General features: G+C 39.0%; 1 protein-coding gene across 4 annotated transcripts in view; it reads right to left on the bottom strand.

The window, feature by feature from the left end:
• GNL3L (G protein nucleolar 3 like) overlaps positions 1-18,442 on the bottom strand; it is a 115,636-nt gene that overhangs the window by 25,500 nt on the left and 71,694 nt on the right. The gene's annotated exons all lie outside the window — the stretch shown is intronic.

Below are 18,442 nucleotides of genomic sequence, written 5' to 3'. Positions count from 1 at the left end.
TTAAAACAACTGAACCCACGGGGATAGAGAGTATAAGGATGGTTACCAGAAGCTGGGAAGGGTAATGGGGGTGCGGGGGTGGTGAGAGAGAAGTTGGGGTGGTTAATGGGTACAAAATAAAAATAGAAAGAATGAATAAGATCTAGAATTTGATAGCACACCAGGGTAACTATGGTCTATAATAATTTAATTGCACATTTTAAAATAACCGAAAGAGTATAATTGTATTGTTTGTAACACAAAGGATAAATGCTTGAATGGATGGATACCCCATTTTCCATGATGTGATTATTACACATTGCATGCCTGTATCAGCAAATTTCATGTACCCCATTATTATATACACCTACTATGTACCCACAAAAAATAAAAACAAATAAATAAATAAAACAGGCAGACATATTTCAAATAGCCAAGTGGAAAGGTGGAAAAAACCTGGGGCCTTAATGTTTCTGCTAGTGAACAGCACCCCAAAAAATCTAACTTCTTTGTACCAGTGCCTGGTTCACTATAATCTGCATCATCCTCTAGCAATGCTAATGGTTGCCTCAGTCTTTCTGTGGACTTCCCAGATTGTAATTGGCACCAGGTAACATCCATATCCCTAGATCTGTTTCCCACCTAACTCCATCCCCATATCATATCTCTACCTCAGGAAACAAAACATCCTCAATCGAGGGTATAGAAGTATGTAAAACAGGCTGGGCACAGTGGCTCACATCCGTAATCCCAGCATTTTGGAAGGCCGAGGCAAGAGGATTGCTTGAGCCCAGGAGTTCAAGACCAGCCTGAGCAATACAGTGAGACCTTGTCTTTAAAAATTAAAAAAAAAAATTGCGCAAAACAGAATGTATAAGCCCCCATCCTCCCTACTCCTGTAACTCCTACTCCCGCAGTTAATGTTTGTACCTATATTTCCAAAAGTTTTTATATATATACAAAAAATAATTATTTACAGAAATGAGATTAATACACTATTGTGAAACTTTCTCTTTCTGCTTAATAAATTGTCATCATCTTTCCATGTCGTGTTAAACAGATACTTTATTATTTTTAAAAGCAGCTTAGTAATCTTTTATGTATATATTGTATATACCATTACTTATTTAATAATTTCATTGTTGATATTTCGATTATTTCCAATTCCTTATTGTGAACAATAATGTAATAAATGTCTTTGTATATATATATACTTGTGTATTTCTGTAGAATAAAATCTAAAAGTGCATCAAAGGGTATACATGCTTAATATTCTGATACATGCTGCCAAATTGCCTCCAAAAGGTTCTGCCAGTTTACACTCCCACCATCTGTGTATGAGTGTCCATTTCCCCTCACTAACCCTAGGTTTTAGCAAATCTGGCAAGTGAAGACTGGTATCATGGTGCTTTAATTTTTATTATAAGTGAGATTGAGCCCCTTCTTAGATATTTATTGCCCATTTGTGGGTTTTTTTTAAAAACAGGGTCTCACTCTGCCACCCAGGCTGGAGTGCAATGGCACAATCATAGCTCACTATGGACTTGAACTCCTGGACTCAAGAGATCCTCCTGACTCAGCCTCCCAAGTAGCTGGGATGATAGGTGTATGTCACCATGTTTGGCAATTTTTTTAAATTTTTTTGCAGAGATGGTGTCTCACTATGTTGCCCAGCCTGGTCTCCAACTCCTGGGCTCCAACTCCTCCTGCCTCAGCCTCTCAAAGCACTGGGATTACAGGTATGAGCCACCATGCCCAGCCCAGTCCATTTGTGTTTCTTCTGGGAATTGTCTATTTGTGTTCTTTATCCATTTTTCTATTGTGATCTAGTGCTTATTTTTGAGCATGGAAGTCATGTGATCAGAACTAGACTCCAAGAAGATCAATCTTACTGTAGGGAAAATGACTAGAGGCAAGATTACCACATCACCTAGAACATGGATCTGTTGAAAAGAGAGAATTCGTAAGACTTCGAAGGAAAGGGCTGACTCTAGGCTGATGCTCAAGTTTCTGTTTGGATAACTGAGCAGACAGAGGGGCTATTTGCTGACTTGGGAAAGCCAGGAGGAGGAGCAAGTTTAGAAGGACTAGGGGGATGAAGATGATAAGCAGAGTTTAATATATGTTGAGTTTCAGATACTTGCAAGACTGCCGGGGCAGATAATCAGGAGGCCTTCAAATATAAATGTCTAGAGCTCAAGAGGGAGGAATGAGCAAAAGGGAAAGATCTAGGAGCCATCAGCATACAGATGATAACTGAAGCCAGCTCCTATATGTGGCCTCTCCAGCATGGGAAAGCCAGGGGAATAAATGAGATTTTTTTTAACTGAGAGCTAAATTTTTTTAAAGTACTCAAATTTAGAGAATAGGAAGGAAAAGAATATATAAAAGAGACTGAGAAAGGCCCATGAAGAAGACTGAAAGAGACCCATTGGAATAGTGGGAGAATCAGTGTCTTAGTCTGTTTGGGCTGCTACAACAAAATACCATAAACTGGATAGCTTATAAATAACAGAAACGTATTTCTTACAGGTCCGAAGGTGTAGAAGTCCAAGATCCAACTGCTGACAATTTCAGTGTCTGGTGAGGGCTCATTCCCCATAGATGGTGATTTCTAGCTGTGTTCTCACACAGTGGAAGGGGCAAACAAGATCCTTCAGGCCTCTTTCATAAAGGTACTAATCCCATTTATGAGGTCTCCTCATTATTTAATCACCTCCCAAAGGCTATACCTCTTAATTCCATCACCTTGGAGGTTAGGTTTCAACATATGAATTTGCGGGAAGGGAGTACACATTCAGACCCCAGCAACCAGAGAAGTTTCTGAAAGCCAGAGTAAGTTTCTAGCGGGGGGAAAATTGTCAACAGAGATAAATGTGGTGACAAATTAAGGAGAGAGAAAACACAGCTAAAAGCCACTGAATTTAACAAGTAAGAGATAGTTGGTTGATGGTGGTAGATGCAATTATAGTAGAGGGCAGAGGGAAAAGCCAAATCACAGTGGGTTGATGAGTGGGTAAAAGGTGAGGAAACGTAAGTGTGAACAACTCATTCAAGAAATTGTTTTGTGTGAAGGAGAAGGCTTATGGGGAAGTAGCCAAAGGGATGTGGGTTTCCTTTTTCCAATGGAAAAATATTGAACATCCTCCAATGCTAATAGAAGGTAAGTTGAAACTTCTGAAAAGAAAGGGATAATTGGTGAAGTAGCTAAAGAAACAGAAGAGGATGGGATCCAGGCACAAGCACAGAAGTTTTCTCTTTCCCCAGATTCTTGGCACATGGACTTGAAATCTAAAGAACAGCCTCCTTCTTGGTTAAGAATGACCTTTTCCTTTTCCCACACAAATAACAAGCCAGTTTAAGTAGTGGACCAGTTAGCCAGTTGCTTCCCACTACACAAAAGGAAACAATATCATGGGATTAAATCTATGCTAATTAACTCAGATTTCTATAAGAAACTTCTCAACTAACTGGTGAAGCAAAAATTGGTCCCATCCTCTCTACCAAAGTTAACTGACATGGAAATAAACACAATAGTAACAAACCCCTTACAAGCTCATACTATTTATGGAATATTTTTGCAATTGTGCACATTCATACCCCCCAGGCCCTGAGGCTAACACTATCCAGTTGACTTGGGGAGAAGGAGCCAGGGTCAGCAGTAGCCTTACTCTCAAAGCCTAAAACTGAAAAATGCACAGTGTAAGGCTGTCTACAACAAGTCATCCAGTTTATTATCAAAATAAAAATATTTTAATGTGCCTGTTAAGGAGTTGTTAGGTTCAGGGGGGGAAAAAACTAAAACGGGAACAAAAACTACTTAAAAGTAGAAATAATTTTGCCAAAAGACTTTTCAAATATATTTAAACAAGACTTCCTGTCTCTATCCATGGGCAGTTAGTTACTTTTCCCCTTAGTGAGTGTGAGTGACTAACACACTCCAATTACAAGAAATGGAAAAACCATGAAATGAAAGGCAATTCCAAATAAGTTAAAATATTATGCTAAGTTTGGTGCATATAATATGTTCCTTATTTTGAACATCCAGAAAGGTATGCAATTTTTATTAAAAAAAAATTGGTTTTTCCTTTCTCCTGCCAAATAAATGCTGAACAAATATTTAAAGAATATCAGTTTGAAGAAGAACCCTTTCTGTAGCCTGCTTGTGGCGCCCATATGGCGGGCACTGCCCTTGCCAGGCCTTCTCACTGTGCCCAGAGAACACTGAACCTCTTATTCACCACCTCTTGCCTATCCAGCCATATCATTCAATGAGTTCCTCCAGCTCTGTGCTAGATACCACAAGAGAGACAAACTGAAACCATGATAATATTAAAATCACAGGAGAGTTGATTAGTTTCAAAGTGATGACATCCGTGAAACAGCTAACAGACTGCCTGGCACATAACAAATGCTTACTGGAAATATTTTACTTTTTCAGTTACATTTCCCAGGTTTCAGAAAAGCTGTTGACACAGGCTTCTCCTGGGATTCAGAAGTACTGGCTTCTGGGAGTGGTGGTGGGCGCCTGTAATCCCAGCTACTCGGGAGGCTGAGGCAGGAGAATCGCTTGAACCCGGGAGGCAGAGATTGCAGTGAGCTGAGATCACGCCACAGCACTCCAGCCTGGGCAACAGAGTGAGACTCTGTCTTAGGGAAAAAAAAAAAAAAGCAAGTACTGGCTTCTGGGAAAATTCCCTTCATCTGTTTTCGAAGGTAAAGAAAATGCACAGACTAGATGAAAAGCAGAGGTGGAAATACTTAGTAGAGATAAAGGGGAAGACTTCGTCTCCAGTTAACTCCATTAACATCTCCAGCCTTTTATTGGGTTTTTAAAAATTTTTTATTGTAAAGTATACATATAAGGTGCTGTGAAAAACAGTTTGACAGTTACTCTAAAAGTTAAACATGGAGTTGCCATATGACCCAGCAATTCCACTCCTAGGTATTTACCCAAAAGAAATGAAAACTAGTACGCAAATACATGTACCTGTATGTTCATAGCAACACTATTCACAATAGCTAAAAGGTGGAAAGAGCCCAAATGTCCATCAACATATGAATGGAGAAACAAATTGTGGTATTTACTTACAATGAAATATTATTCAGCCATGAAAAGGAATGAAAAACTGATACATGCTACAACATGGATGAGCCACAAAATCATTATGCTAAGTGAAAGAAGCTAAACACAAAAGGTCACATATTTAATGATTCTATTTAATATGAGGTATTCAGAACAGATAAATGCATAGAAAAAGAATGTAGATTGGTAGTTTCCAGATGCTGTGGAAGTGAGAAATGGGAATTGATTTCTTGATGGTAATAGGGTTTTCTTTTGGGGTGATGAGAATGTTGTGAAACTAGATAGATGGAGTAGTCGCACAGTAATGCCACTGAAGAGGACACTTTAAACTAGTTTCAGGTGTTTGGCAATCATGGCGGACGGAGGGCAAGATTAGATTGCAGCTCTGGACAGAGCAGTTGGTGGAAGCTCACGTTGTAAATTTCAGCTCCAGATCAACTGCAAGAATCCCAAGCAATCCCAAGAGGACCCAAAGACCCTCTGAAGGAAGCAGACTGCACCTGCAGGACCCAGGAGACGCCCCAAATACTGTGAGCGCCCGAACAGCGGAAATGGGAAAGGGAGACCCTCCTCTCCTGAACACACACTCCCATTGGAGAAGCTGAAGTTCTGTTTGCAGGACAAGTTTCTGACTTTACCTGGAGTTGAGTCAATTTAGAGAGCCGAGCGAAATATAGGGGTAGAGGAAGCAGCAGAAAGGCCCGGGGAGCTGGCTGCGTCCCCTCACAGGCTATTCCTGCCTGGCACCACAGGGATCCAGCGGGATGATGACCAGAGGAGCAGGGGGTAAAGCTCCACAGGGAGAAGGAAATCTCTAGATGAACTTTGTAACAATTTGAACAGGCAAGAAGCCTCCTGATCAGAACTCAGGGGAGGGCGCAAATCCGGTGTGCAGACTCCACAAGCAGGGGAAGAACCAAGCCCTTTTCTATCACAGCTGGAAGGTGAGTAGCCGGGGGCAAGTTTTCAAGCCTGTCATGTCCTCCGCCTGGAAACAGACTTGGGGCTGTTGTGGGGGCACAGTGGGTATGAGACAGGCCCTTCGTTTGCTGGGAGCTGGGTGAGATCTGCGACTGCTGGCCTTCCCTCACTTCCCTGACAACCTGCATGACTCAGTTGAGGCAGCCATAATTCTCCTAGGTAATCAACTCCAGTGATCTGGGAATCTCACCCCCACCCTCCACAGACCCACAGCAAGGCCCACCCAAGGAGAGTGTGAGCTCAGACACACCTAGCCCCACTCCCACCTGATGGTCTTTCCCTATCCACCCTGGTAGTGGAAGACAAAGGTTATATAATCTTGGGAGTTTTAGGGCCCCACCCACTGCCGGTCCCTTTCTATATTACTATAGCAGATGCTTTCTGGAAACCACCACCTCCTGACAGGAGGTCAACCAGCACAAAAAAAGAGCATTAAACCAACAAAGCTAAGAATCCTCACAGAATCTATTGCACACCCCCCACCCTGCCCCTGCCACCTCCACAGGAACAGGCGCTGGTATACACAGCTGAGAGACCCACAGATGGTTCATGTTCACATGATATGACTCTGCGGACAACCCCCAGTACCAGCCGGGAGCCAGGTAGACTCGCTGGGTAGCTAGACCCAGAAGACAGACAACAATCACTGCATTTCGACTCATAGGAAGCCACATCCATAGGAAAAGGGGGAGACTACTACATCAAGGGAACATCCCTTCAGCCTTAGACCTTCCCTCTAACAGAGCCTACCCAAATGAGAAGGAACCAGAAAACCAACCCTGGTAATATGACACAACAAGGTGCTTCAACACCCCCCAAAAAATCACACTAGTTCACCAGCAATGGATCCAAACCAAGAAGAAGTCCCTGATTTATCTGAAAAAGAGTTCAGGAGGTTAGTTATTAAGCTAATCAAGGAGGGACCAGAGAAAGACGAAACCCAATGCAAGGAAATCCAAAAACATGATACAAGAATTGAAGAGAGAAATATTCAAAGAAATAGATAGCTTAAACACAAAACAGTCAAAAATTCAGGAAACTGTGGACACAATTTTAGAAATGCAAAATGCTCTGCGAAAGTCTCAGCAATAGAACCGGACAAGTAGAAGAGAGAAATTCAGAGCTCAAAGACAAGGTCTTCGAATTAACCTAATCCAACAAAGACAAAGAAAAAAGAGTAAGGAAATATGAACAAAGTCTCCAAGGAGTCTGGGATTATGTTAAACAACCAAACATAAGAATAATCAGTGTTCCTAAGAAAGAAGAGAACCGTAAAAGCTTGGAAAACATATTCAGTAGAATAATCAAGAAAAACTTCCCTGGCCTTGCTAGAGACCCAGACATCCAAATACAAGAAGCACAAAGAATACCTGGAAAATTCATCGCAAAAAGATCTTCGCCTAGCCACATTATCATAAGGTTATCCGAAGTTAAGACGAAAGAAAGAATTTTAAGAGCTGCGAGACAAAAGCACCAGGTAACCTATAATGGAAAACTTAGCAGATTAACAGCAGATTTCTCAGCAGAAACCCTACAAGCTAGAAGGGATTGGGGCCCTATCTTCAGCCTCCTCAAACAAAACAATTATCAGCCAAGAATTTTGTATCCAGCAAAACTAAGCATCATATATGAAGGAAAGATACAGTCATTTTCAGATAAACAAATGCTGAGAGAATTCACCATTACCAAGCCACCACTACAGGAATTGCTAAAAGGAACTCTAAATCTTGAAACAAATCCTGGGAACACATCAAAACAGAACCTCTTTAAAGCATAAATCACACAGGACCTATAAAAGAAAAATACATGTTAAAAAGCAAAAACAAAAAACAAAAAAATCAAAGTACATGGGCAACAAAAAGCATGATGAAAGTAACAGTACCTCACATTTCAATACTAACATTGAATGTAAATGGCCTAAACGCTCCACTTAAAAGATGCAGAATGGATAAGAACTCACCAACCATCTGCTGCCTTCAGGAGACTCACCTAACACATAAGGACTAACATAAAGTAAAGGGGTGGGAAAAGGCATTTCATGCAAATGGACACCAAAAGCAAGCAGGGGTAGCTATTCTTATAACAGACAAAACAAATTTTAAAGCAACAGCAGCTAGAAGAGACAAAGAGGGACATTATATAATGGTAAAAGGCCTTGTCCAACAGGAAAATATCACAATCCTAAACATATATGCACCTAACACTGGAGACCCCAAATTTATAAAACAATTACTAATAGACCTAAGAAATGAGATAGACAGCAACAAATAATAGTGGGGGACTTCAGTATTCCACTGACAGCATTAGACAGGTCATCAAGACAGAAAGTGAACAAAGAAACAATGGATTTAAACTACACCTTGGAACAAATTGACTTAACAGATATATACAGAACATTTCGTCCAACAACCACAGAATACACATTCTATTCAACAGCACATGGAACTTTCTCCAAGGTAGACCATACGATAGGCCATAAAATTAGCCTCAGTAAATTTAAGAAAATTGAAATTCTGTCAAGCACTCCCTCAGACCACACACAGTGGAATAAGACTGGAAATCAACTCCAAAAGGAAACTTCAGAATTATATCAAGCACTCTCTCAGACCACAGTGGAATGAAACTGGAAATCAACTCCAAAAGGAACTTTTAGAACCATGCAAATAAATGAAAATTAAATAATCTGCTCCTGAATGAGCATTGGGTCAAAAATGAAATCAAGAAGGAAATTTAAAAATTCTTTGAACTGAGAGAATAATGACACAACCTATCAAAACCTTGGGGATACAGCAAAGGCAACGCTAAGAGGAAAGTTTATAGTCCTAAGTGCCTACATCAAAAAGACTGATAGAGCACAAACTGACATTCTAAGTTCACACCTCAAGGAACTAGAGAAACAAGAATAAGCCAAACCCAAACCCAACAGAAGAAAGGAAATTACCAAGATCAGAGCAGAACTAAATGAAATTGAAACAAACAAAAAATACAAAAGATAAATAAAACAAAAATCTGGTTCCTTGAAAAGGTAAATAAAATGGATAGACCATTAGCAAGATTAACCAAGAAAAGAAGAGAGAAAACCCAAATAACCTCACTAAGAAATGAAACAGGAGATATTACAACTGACACCACTGAAATACAAAAGATCATTCAAGGGTACTATGAACACACCTTTATGCAAATAAAGTAGAAAACCTAGAAGAGGTGGATAAATTCCTGGAAAAATACAACCCTCCTAGCTTAAATCAGGAAGAATTAGATACCCTGAACAGACCAATAACAAGCAGCGAGGCTGAAATGGTAATTTAAAAATTACCAACAAAAAAAAAGTCCAAGACCAGACAGATTCACAGCAGAATTCTACCAAACATTCAAAGAAGTGGTACCAATCCTTTTGACACTATTCCACAAGACAGAGAAAAAAGGAACTCTCCCTAATTCATTTTATGAAGCCAGCATCACCCCAATACCAAAACCAGGAAAGGATATAACCAAAAAAGAAAACTACAGACCAATATCCTTGATGAACATAGATGCTAAAATCCTTAACAAGCTACTAGCTAACAGAATCCAACAACATATCAAAAAGATAATCCAGCATGATCAAGTGGGTTTCATACCAGGGATGGAGGTGTGATTTAACATACACAAGTCAATAAATGTGATACACCACACGAACAGAATTAAAACAAAAATCACATGATCACCTCAATAGATGCAGAAAAAGCATTCAACAAAATCCAGCATCACTTTGATTAAAACTCTCAGCAAAATCGGCATACAAGGGACATACCTTAGTGTAATAAAAGCCATCTATGACAAACCCACAGCCAACATAATACTGAATGGGGAAAAGTTGAAAGCATTCCCTCTGAGAACTGGAAAAAGACAAGGATACCCACTCTCACCACTCCTCTTCAATATAGTGCTAGAAGTCCTAGCCAGAGCAATCAGACAAGAAAAAGAAATAAAAGGCATCCAAATTGCTAAAGAGGAAGTCAAACTGTCACTGTTTGCTGACGATATGATCGTTTACCTTGAAAACCCTAAGGACTCCTCCAGAAAGCTCCTAGAACTGATAAAAAAAACTCAGCCAAGTTTCTGGATACAAATTAATGTACACAAATCAATAGCTCTGCTATATACCAAGAGCGACCAAGCAGAGAATCAAATCAAGAACTTAACCCCTTTTACAACAGCTACAAAAATAAAATAAAATACTTAGGAATATACCTAACCAAGGATGTGAAAGACCTCTACGAGGAAAACTACAAAACACTGCTGAAAGAAATCACAGATGACACAAACAAATGGAAACACATCCCATGCTCATGGATGTGTAGAATAAATATTGTGAAAATGACCATACTGCCAAAAGCAATCTACAAATTCAACACAATCCCATCAAAATACCACCATCATTCCACACAGAATTAGAAAAAACAATGCTAAAATTGATATGGAAACAAAAAAGAGCCCACATAGCCAAAGCAAGACTAAGCAAAAAGAACAATTGTGGAGGCATCACACGACCTGATTTTAAACTATACTATAAGGCCATAGTCACCAAAACAGTGTGGTACTGGTATAAAAATAGGCACATAGATCAATGGAACAGAATAGAGAACCCAGAAATAAACCCAAATACTTACAGCCAACTGATCTTCAACAAAGCAAACAAAAACATAAAGCAGGGAAAGGACAGCCTATTCAACAAATCGTGCTGGAATAATTGGCTAGCCACATGTAGGAGAATGAAACTGGATCCTCATCTCTCACCTTATACAAAAATCAACTCGAGATAAATTAAGGACTTAAACCTAAGACCTGAAACTATAAAAATTCTAGAAGATAACATCGGAAAAACCCTTCTAGACATTGGCTTAGGCAAGGATTTCATGGACAAGAATCCAAAAGCAAATGCAATACAAACAGAGATGAATAGCTGGGACCTAATTAAACTAAAGAGCTTTGCAAGGCAAAAGGAACAGTCAGCAGAGTAAACAGACAACCCACAGAGTGGGAGAAAATTTATACAATGTATACATCTGACAAAGGACTAATATCCAGAATCTACAAAACTCAAATCAGTAAGAAAAAAACAAATAATCCATCAAAACATGGGATAAGGACATGAATAGACAATTCTCAAAAGAAGATATACAAACGGCCAACAAACACATGAAAAAAATGCTCAACATCACTAATGATCAGGGAAATGCAAATCAAAACCACAATGAGATACTGCCTTACTCCTGCAAGAATGGCCATAATCAAAATATCAAAAAACAGTAGATATTGGTGTGGATGCAGCGAACAGGGAACACTTCTACACTGCTGATGGGAATGTAAACTAGTACAGCCACTATGGAAAACAGTGTGGAGATTCCTTAAAGAACTAAAAGTAGAACTACCATTTGATCCAGCAATCCCACTACTGGGTATCTACCCAAAGGAAAAGAAGTCATTATTCAAAAAAGATACTTGCACACGCGTTTACAGCAGCAAAATCCACAACTGCAAAATCGTGGAACCAACCCAAATGCCCATCAATAAACGAGTGGATAAAGAAACTGTGGTATATGTATATATGATGGAATACTATGCAGCCATAAAAAGGAATGAATTAACAGTATTTGCAGTGACCTGGATGAGACTGGAGACTATTACTCTAAGTGAGGTAACTCAAGAATGGAAAACCAAGTATCGTATGTTCTCACTGATATGTGGGAGCTAAGCTGTGAGGATGCAAAGGCATAAGAATGATACGATGGACTTTGGGGACTCGGGGGAAAGAGTAGGAGGGGGGCAAGGGATAAAAGACTACAAATATGTTGCAGAGTATACTACTTGGGTGAAGGGTGCACCAGAATCTCACAAATCACCACTAAAGAACTTACTCATGTAACCAAATACCACCTGTACCCCAATAACTTATGGAAAAATAAAAAATAATAAATAAAATTGTTAGTTTTATGGTTATGTGAATTTCACCTCAATAAAAAATTTTAATTTAAAAACTTAAAGTGTCATATATAAAAGCAATTTAAAAATAATGACATGTATCTCCATGTGGAAAGTGTCAGGCAAAAAAAAGAAAAAGTAAAGACATGACTACCCAGGTACATATTACCTTAAAAGCCCTTCCCAATACACACAGCACTCCCCCTATACAAAAACAACCACTACCCTAAATTTTGTAGCTTCTTGTTTCTATTTAATTTGTTAGCTATGTTTGTATCCTTATATATCTTGTTTTGCCTGCTTTTGAATTTTATATCAAAGATTATTTTGTGTTTTCTTTTATGACTTGCTTTTTCAGTTAACATTATGTCTCTGAGCTTCATCCACGTTGGCCCATGTAACAGTAAATTATTCATTTCACTGCTGTATGTGCTTCATTGTCTAAATAAACCACAATTTTATTTATTCATTCTACTTCTGATGTACTTTTATATTGCTTCTAATTTTCTGCTATTACAAACAATGTTACAATAGGCATTTTTATACATGACTCCTCATGTAAATATGTGAGATCCTCTAGAGCTGTGCTATCCAATAAGGTAGCCACCAGCTACATGTGACTTGCATTTATTTATTTATTTATTGGAGCAGACTCATAGATCCCTATTTTATTCAATGGTTATAATCTGTTAACATTTTTATTTATTATGATGATCAAATTGCCTCAGATCTGGCCAGTGCAAACTCCTTCAAGGTGACTCCTATGTCCTTGTGACATGCACCTACCATCTGGAGGACATTTCCTTACTTTCTGCCACCACAAGATGTTCCAGCCTTATAACTTCCCTGATCCAGCCCTGGAATCAGCTATTATTCCAAGGCATTCTGAGTCCTTTTTAGTCAGAAATAATACTTAAAATCCAAGATCTGGGTCCTAGGTGTGCCCCATTGCTACAATAGGGAAATTTTTTCTTTCAATTCAGCAACAAAGTCAAAATGAGCAATTTTTCTTTCTGCCCTTCTGCTTGACAGGGTTTATTTCTCCTTTACCTTTACACTAAGGTGCAGTCTTTAGAAATTTCATTTTTTTTCTGCTCAGGGGTTCTCCTACTACATTTCCGACTTTGGGTAGGTTCCAAGCACAAATAACAGCTGTATGAATTTGCAAATATACAAAAAGAAAGAAAGAGAGAGAGAGAGAGACAAAGAAAGAAAGAAAGAAAGAAAGAAAGAAAGAAAGAAAGAAAGAAAGAAAGAAAGAAGAAAGAAAGAGAAAGAAAGAAAGAAAGAAAGAAAGAAAGAAAGAAAGAAAGAAAGAAAGAAAGAAAGAAAGAAAGAAAGAAAGAAAGGAAAGGAAAGGAAAGAAAGAAAAATCTTCATCACTCAGAACAAGATATATAGAACAGTCAGGCATGGTGACTTACACCTATAATCCCAGCACTTTGGGAGGCGGAGGTCAGAGGATCACTTAAGGCCAGGAGTTCAAGACCAGCCTAGGCAACATAGCAAAACCCCATCTCTACAAAAAATATAAAAATTAGCCAGGCGTGGTGGCATGCACCTGTAGTCCCAGCTACTTGGGAGGCTAAAGTGGAAGGATCACTTGAGCCCAGGAGGCAGAGACTACAGTGAGCCAAGAGCGCACCACTACATTCCATACTGGGAGACAGACTGAGACCCTGCCTCAAAAAAAAAAAAAAAATTGGCCTGGCATAGTGGCACACACCTATAGTCCCAGCTACTTGGGAGGCTAAGGTGGGAGGGTTGTTACAGCCCAGGGGTTTGAGGTTACAGTGAGCTATGATTGCACCACTGCATTCCAGTCTGCAGGGTGAGACCTGGTCTCTTAAAAAAAAGAGAGAGAGAACATTTCTCTCAGAAGTTTCCCTCATGCCCCTTCCCAGTACTACTCCCTAAGTGTAGACACTATCTTGGTTTCTAATACCATAGGTTAGTTTTACCTGTTCTTGAAGTTCATTTAAGTGGAATCAAATAGTATATACTCATCTGTACCTGCCTTCTTTCACCTAGCATGAGGTTTCTGAGGTTCATCCATGTTGTAGCATGTTTCCATCATTTGTCCTCTTTAATTCTCAGTAGAATCTCATTATATGCGTATACTCTACCTTGTTTTGAGGATTTATCTGCTTCTTAATCTAATGGTAGTTCAATAGGGCATTTTAAACTATCTAATTTTCTTTATATTCTATTAAAAATTTTAGTTGTTTAAATCAGAAAGGTCATTCAGGTTATCCTGCTGCCCAAAATGGAAGCCCTCCTGAAATTATTTGATTTAGAAAATTTGTTTTCTCAATTTCTGGTAAAGTGCTGTGCAAATGTACTTTCAAGAACCAATTCACCCAGAATGCCAATGATCAGCCCCTCCTATATAGAAATTTTCCACCAAAAATCAGGATGTAAAACAAAGTGTGAGTGCAAGTCCAAAAGACATTGGTATAGAATCCACTGGCCCAGAAACATGTCCTAAGGGAAGTATAGTATCACTACATATAGTATCAAGAGTTGATCATTAAAGGATTTGGGGAGGTGATCAGGAGCAGAGGAGGCATTGCAGTTAAAGAGAAGAACGCGAGCAAAGACAAAAAGGAATAGCACATTGAGGGGATAATAATAAATAAGTGAAAGATCAGGCCCTAATAAATTATGGAAGTAGCATCTCTCATCACCCAAGATAATTTCATTCACCCCAACACAATGGTTCACCTAAAAAATGTTAGGAATGAAAGGCAGGAATCTGAGTGCCTCATAAGAAATGTTTCTAAGATCAGCACAGTTATCCAGTACAGCACCAAGATTGAGACCGGAGCTGTAATGGGGCCTGAGTCAAGGCCAGTAACAGATTAAGTGAAGATGGGGGGCCGAAGATGGGGCCAAGTTTGGACCTCTTGGAGTGAAATTCGGATCTAGGCTAGATTTGGAGCCAGCAGCAGACTTCGGACTGGAGAAGTGGTCAGGATTTGGTTGGACAAAGGGTCAGGACTTCATTTGTATACAGGACAGAGATTAGGAATGGCTTTTATTTAGAAGAGTTCAAACATGAGTTGAATTTGGGTCTAGGTTAAGTATAAAAAATTAGAATTAGGCTTCAATAAGGGATTTTGACTGTGTCTTTATTTATGTATGCAAATGGAAATTCATGGTTTCCTGTTTTATTCAATGGGTCACACCTGATAGAATCCCTTTCACAGGACCTGGTTTTGGTAGGGGCTAGGAATGAGCAGGAAGCAGCCTTCATCCCTTACTGTGCAACGTCACATTTCTTAGGACTGGGCTCCTCTGTCCCCTCTCAGAAACATACAACCAGACAAGCTATACTTCCTGGGATCCTGCCACATACACACCAACCAGGCAGTTAATGAGCCCAGGCCAAATCAGTTAAGATAATTTCTAATATATATTGGGTTAGCACACTGGACACTGTCCTAAGCATTTTACACGTACTCATCCGTTTAATTCTCCAAGTAACCTATTTAGGTTGGAGCTATTATTAATTCTCATGTACAAATGAGGGAACTGAGGCACAGAAAGATTAAGGCGTTTTCGCAGAGTCACATAGCTGGTAGCAGAAACTGGATTTGAACCCAGAAGTCAAATTTCAGAGTTCTGCTGTTCATACTATATAGCTGTAAATTCTCACCTGTTTTGTTTTGTTTTTGTTTGTTTTTGGTTTTGTTTTTAATGTTGGAGTCAATGTTAAACTACCTTCATAATCCCAGGGGGTACTCCTAAAAATCCCAAGCTCATTCCCACCTCAGGTCCTTTGAACTTTGAACTTGCTGGTTCCTATGCCTGGAGTGCTCTTTCCCTAGACCTTTGCATAACTGAATCTTTTATCTTTTAGGTCTCCACTCAAACATTACCTCTCAAAGAGACCTTTGCTGACTAGCCTAATTTAAATAGAGCACCTATCAGCCCACATAGGTAGGTCCTGGAGTCACTCTCTTATGCTCTTCCTCTGGTTTATTATTAATGATTGCATTTATTCCCAAATGACTTGATATGATTTTTTAAATATTTTTTCTTATTCGTACTACAGTATAATGATTTATTTAGTGTTCATTTCCTCCCACTAAAAGGTAAAATCCATGAGAGCAGAAATTTGTATCTGTTTTTGTTGCCAGAAGTATTCTACTACCTGGGACAGTGCCTGGCACATATTTCCTTTTTAAATTTCTTTGTGTTTTTGAGAGGTGGTCTTACTCTGTCACCCAGGCTGGGGTGCAGTGATACAATCACAGCTCACTTGTAGCCTCGACCTCCCCAGGCTCAGGTGATCTTCCCACCTCAGCCTCCCAAGTAGCTGGGACTACAGGCATGTGCCACCACACTTGGCTAATTTTTATATATTTAGTAGAGACAGAGTTTCACCATGTTGCCCAGGCCTCGAACTCCTGGGCTCAACTCCCTTGGCCTCCCAAAGTGCTAGGATTACAGATATGAGCCACCACTCCTGGCCCCTTTTTAAATTTTTTATTTGGAAACAATTTTAAACTTACAGAGGGAAAACTACAAGATAAATACAACAACTCCCATGTATTCTTCACCCAGAGAGTACATTCAAGTTTCACCAACTATTGCAATAATGGCAAATTATTACATTTGCCATTATTGCAATAATGGGCAAAACGTTAAGATTTGTCTGATGCTTCCTCATGATTAGATGCAGGTTAAGCATGTTTGGCAGGAATACTATGAAAGTGATGTTGTACCCTTCACAGTACATCATATCAGAAGTACAAATGTCAATATGTCCAATTGCTGCTAACGTTAAGTTTGATTTCTTGGTGATACCTTCCAGATTTTCCCCTGTAAATTTATTCTTTTACCTTTGTAATTAATTAGTTTGTGGAAAGATACTTTGAAGCTATGTAAATATTCATTTATCATCCCACTTTCACCCCTAGTTTTAGCAATTATTGATGTTTCTGCCTGAATTAACTATTACTATGATGGTTGCAAAATAAATATTTTCTAATTATATTATTTCTTCTATACTAATTAGTTGTCCTTATAGTAGCAAGGAAGAGCTCTCTCTTCTTTCCATTGATTGATTGGTTATTTATTTATATAAATGTGAACTAATTATTTCCCATTTTATTCAATGAGTTATATTAATACTATTATTTATTTTGAATCTCATATTGTCCCAGATATGGCTAGTGAGAGCACCTTCAAATTTACTTCAGGGTCCTTTTGTCATAGCTTACAGTTATTTGAGTCCCTTCTTACTTTCTGACACAGCAAGATGTTCTAGGCTTATATTTTATTATTGCTGCATAGCAAATTAATTACCACAAAATTAGCAGCTTAAAATACTACACACTTATTATCTTACAATTTCTATAGGTCAGGATTCCAGGAACAGTTTATCTGAGTCCTCTGCTTAGGATTTAACAACACTGAAATCAAGATGTCAGCCAACCTGCCTTATCATCTGGAGGCATGACTGGGGAAGAATCCACCTCAAAGTTTGCTAAGATTGTAGGCAGACTTTGTTTTCTTGTGTCAGTAGGACTGAGGGCCCTGGCTTCTTGCTAGCTCTCGGCTGTTAGCAACAAGAGGTCTCCCACAGTTCCTAAAAGCCACCTGCAGAGACTACCTGAAGTATCTTGTTACACAGCCTATTCCAACATGGCCACCTATTTCATCAAGCCAAGAAAAGTCTCTAGAGTCTCCATCCAGCAAGACAAGAGTTTTATGTAATATAACCTAATGGTGGGAGTGACATCCCATCACTGTTGTCATATTCTACTAGTTAGACACAAGTTATGGGTCCTGTTTGCACTAAAAAGTGGGGATAGATTATTCAAAGGTATAATTGTGGTGGACAGACTCACAAACTCTAAAGCACCTCCTCCATGATACCAGCAGGCAGGTATCATGGAGGTTTAAATCATGCCCAGTTTAAAGATGGGCAAAAGACCCAAGCAGACACTTGACCACAAAGGCTATAGTGTGGCAAATAAGCACATGAAAAGATATTCACCATAATTAGCCATTATGGAAATAAAAGCTAAAAGTACAATAACTACTGACATATACTATGACAATACCTAAAATTTAAAAATATAACAATATCGAGTGCTGGTGAGGATGCAGGAGAACTAGAATTCTCAAACCTTGCTGACAGATATGCAAAATGGTAGAACTGCTCTGGAACACAGTTTGGCAGTTCCTTATAAACTTAAACATATACTTAACATACGACCCAGAAATCCCATACCAAGTATTTACCCTAGAGAAATTAAAACTATGTACATAAAAAGCCTGTACACAAATGTTTTAAGAAGTCCATTCATAATCATCAAAAATGGAAACAACCCAATATCCTTTAATGACCGAATGTATAGACAACCTGTGGTATGTATATCCATATAATGGAATACTAATCCAGAAGAAAAAAACAAATTA

Source organism: Homo sapiens, chromosome X, assembly GCF_000001405.40.
Source record: "Homo sapiens chromosome X, GRCh38.p14 Primary Assembly".
Classification (NCBI taxonomy): Eukaryota; Metazoa; Chordata; class Mammalia; order Primates; family Hominidae; genus Homo; species Homo sapiens.
Note: the sequence above shows the minus strand (reverse complement) of the source record. Positions and strands in the feature narration are given on the sequence as shown.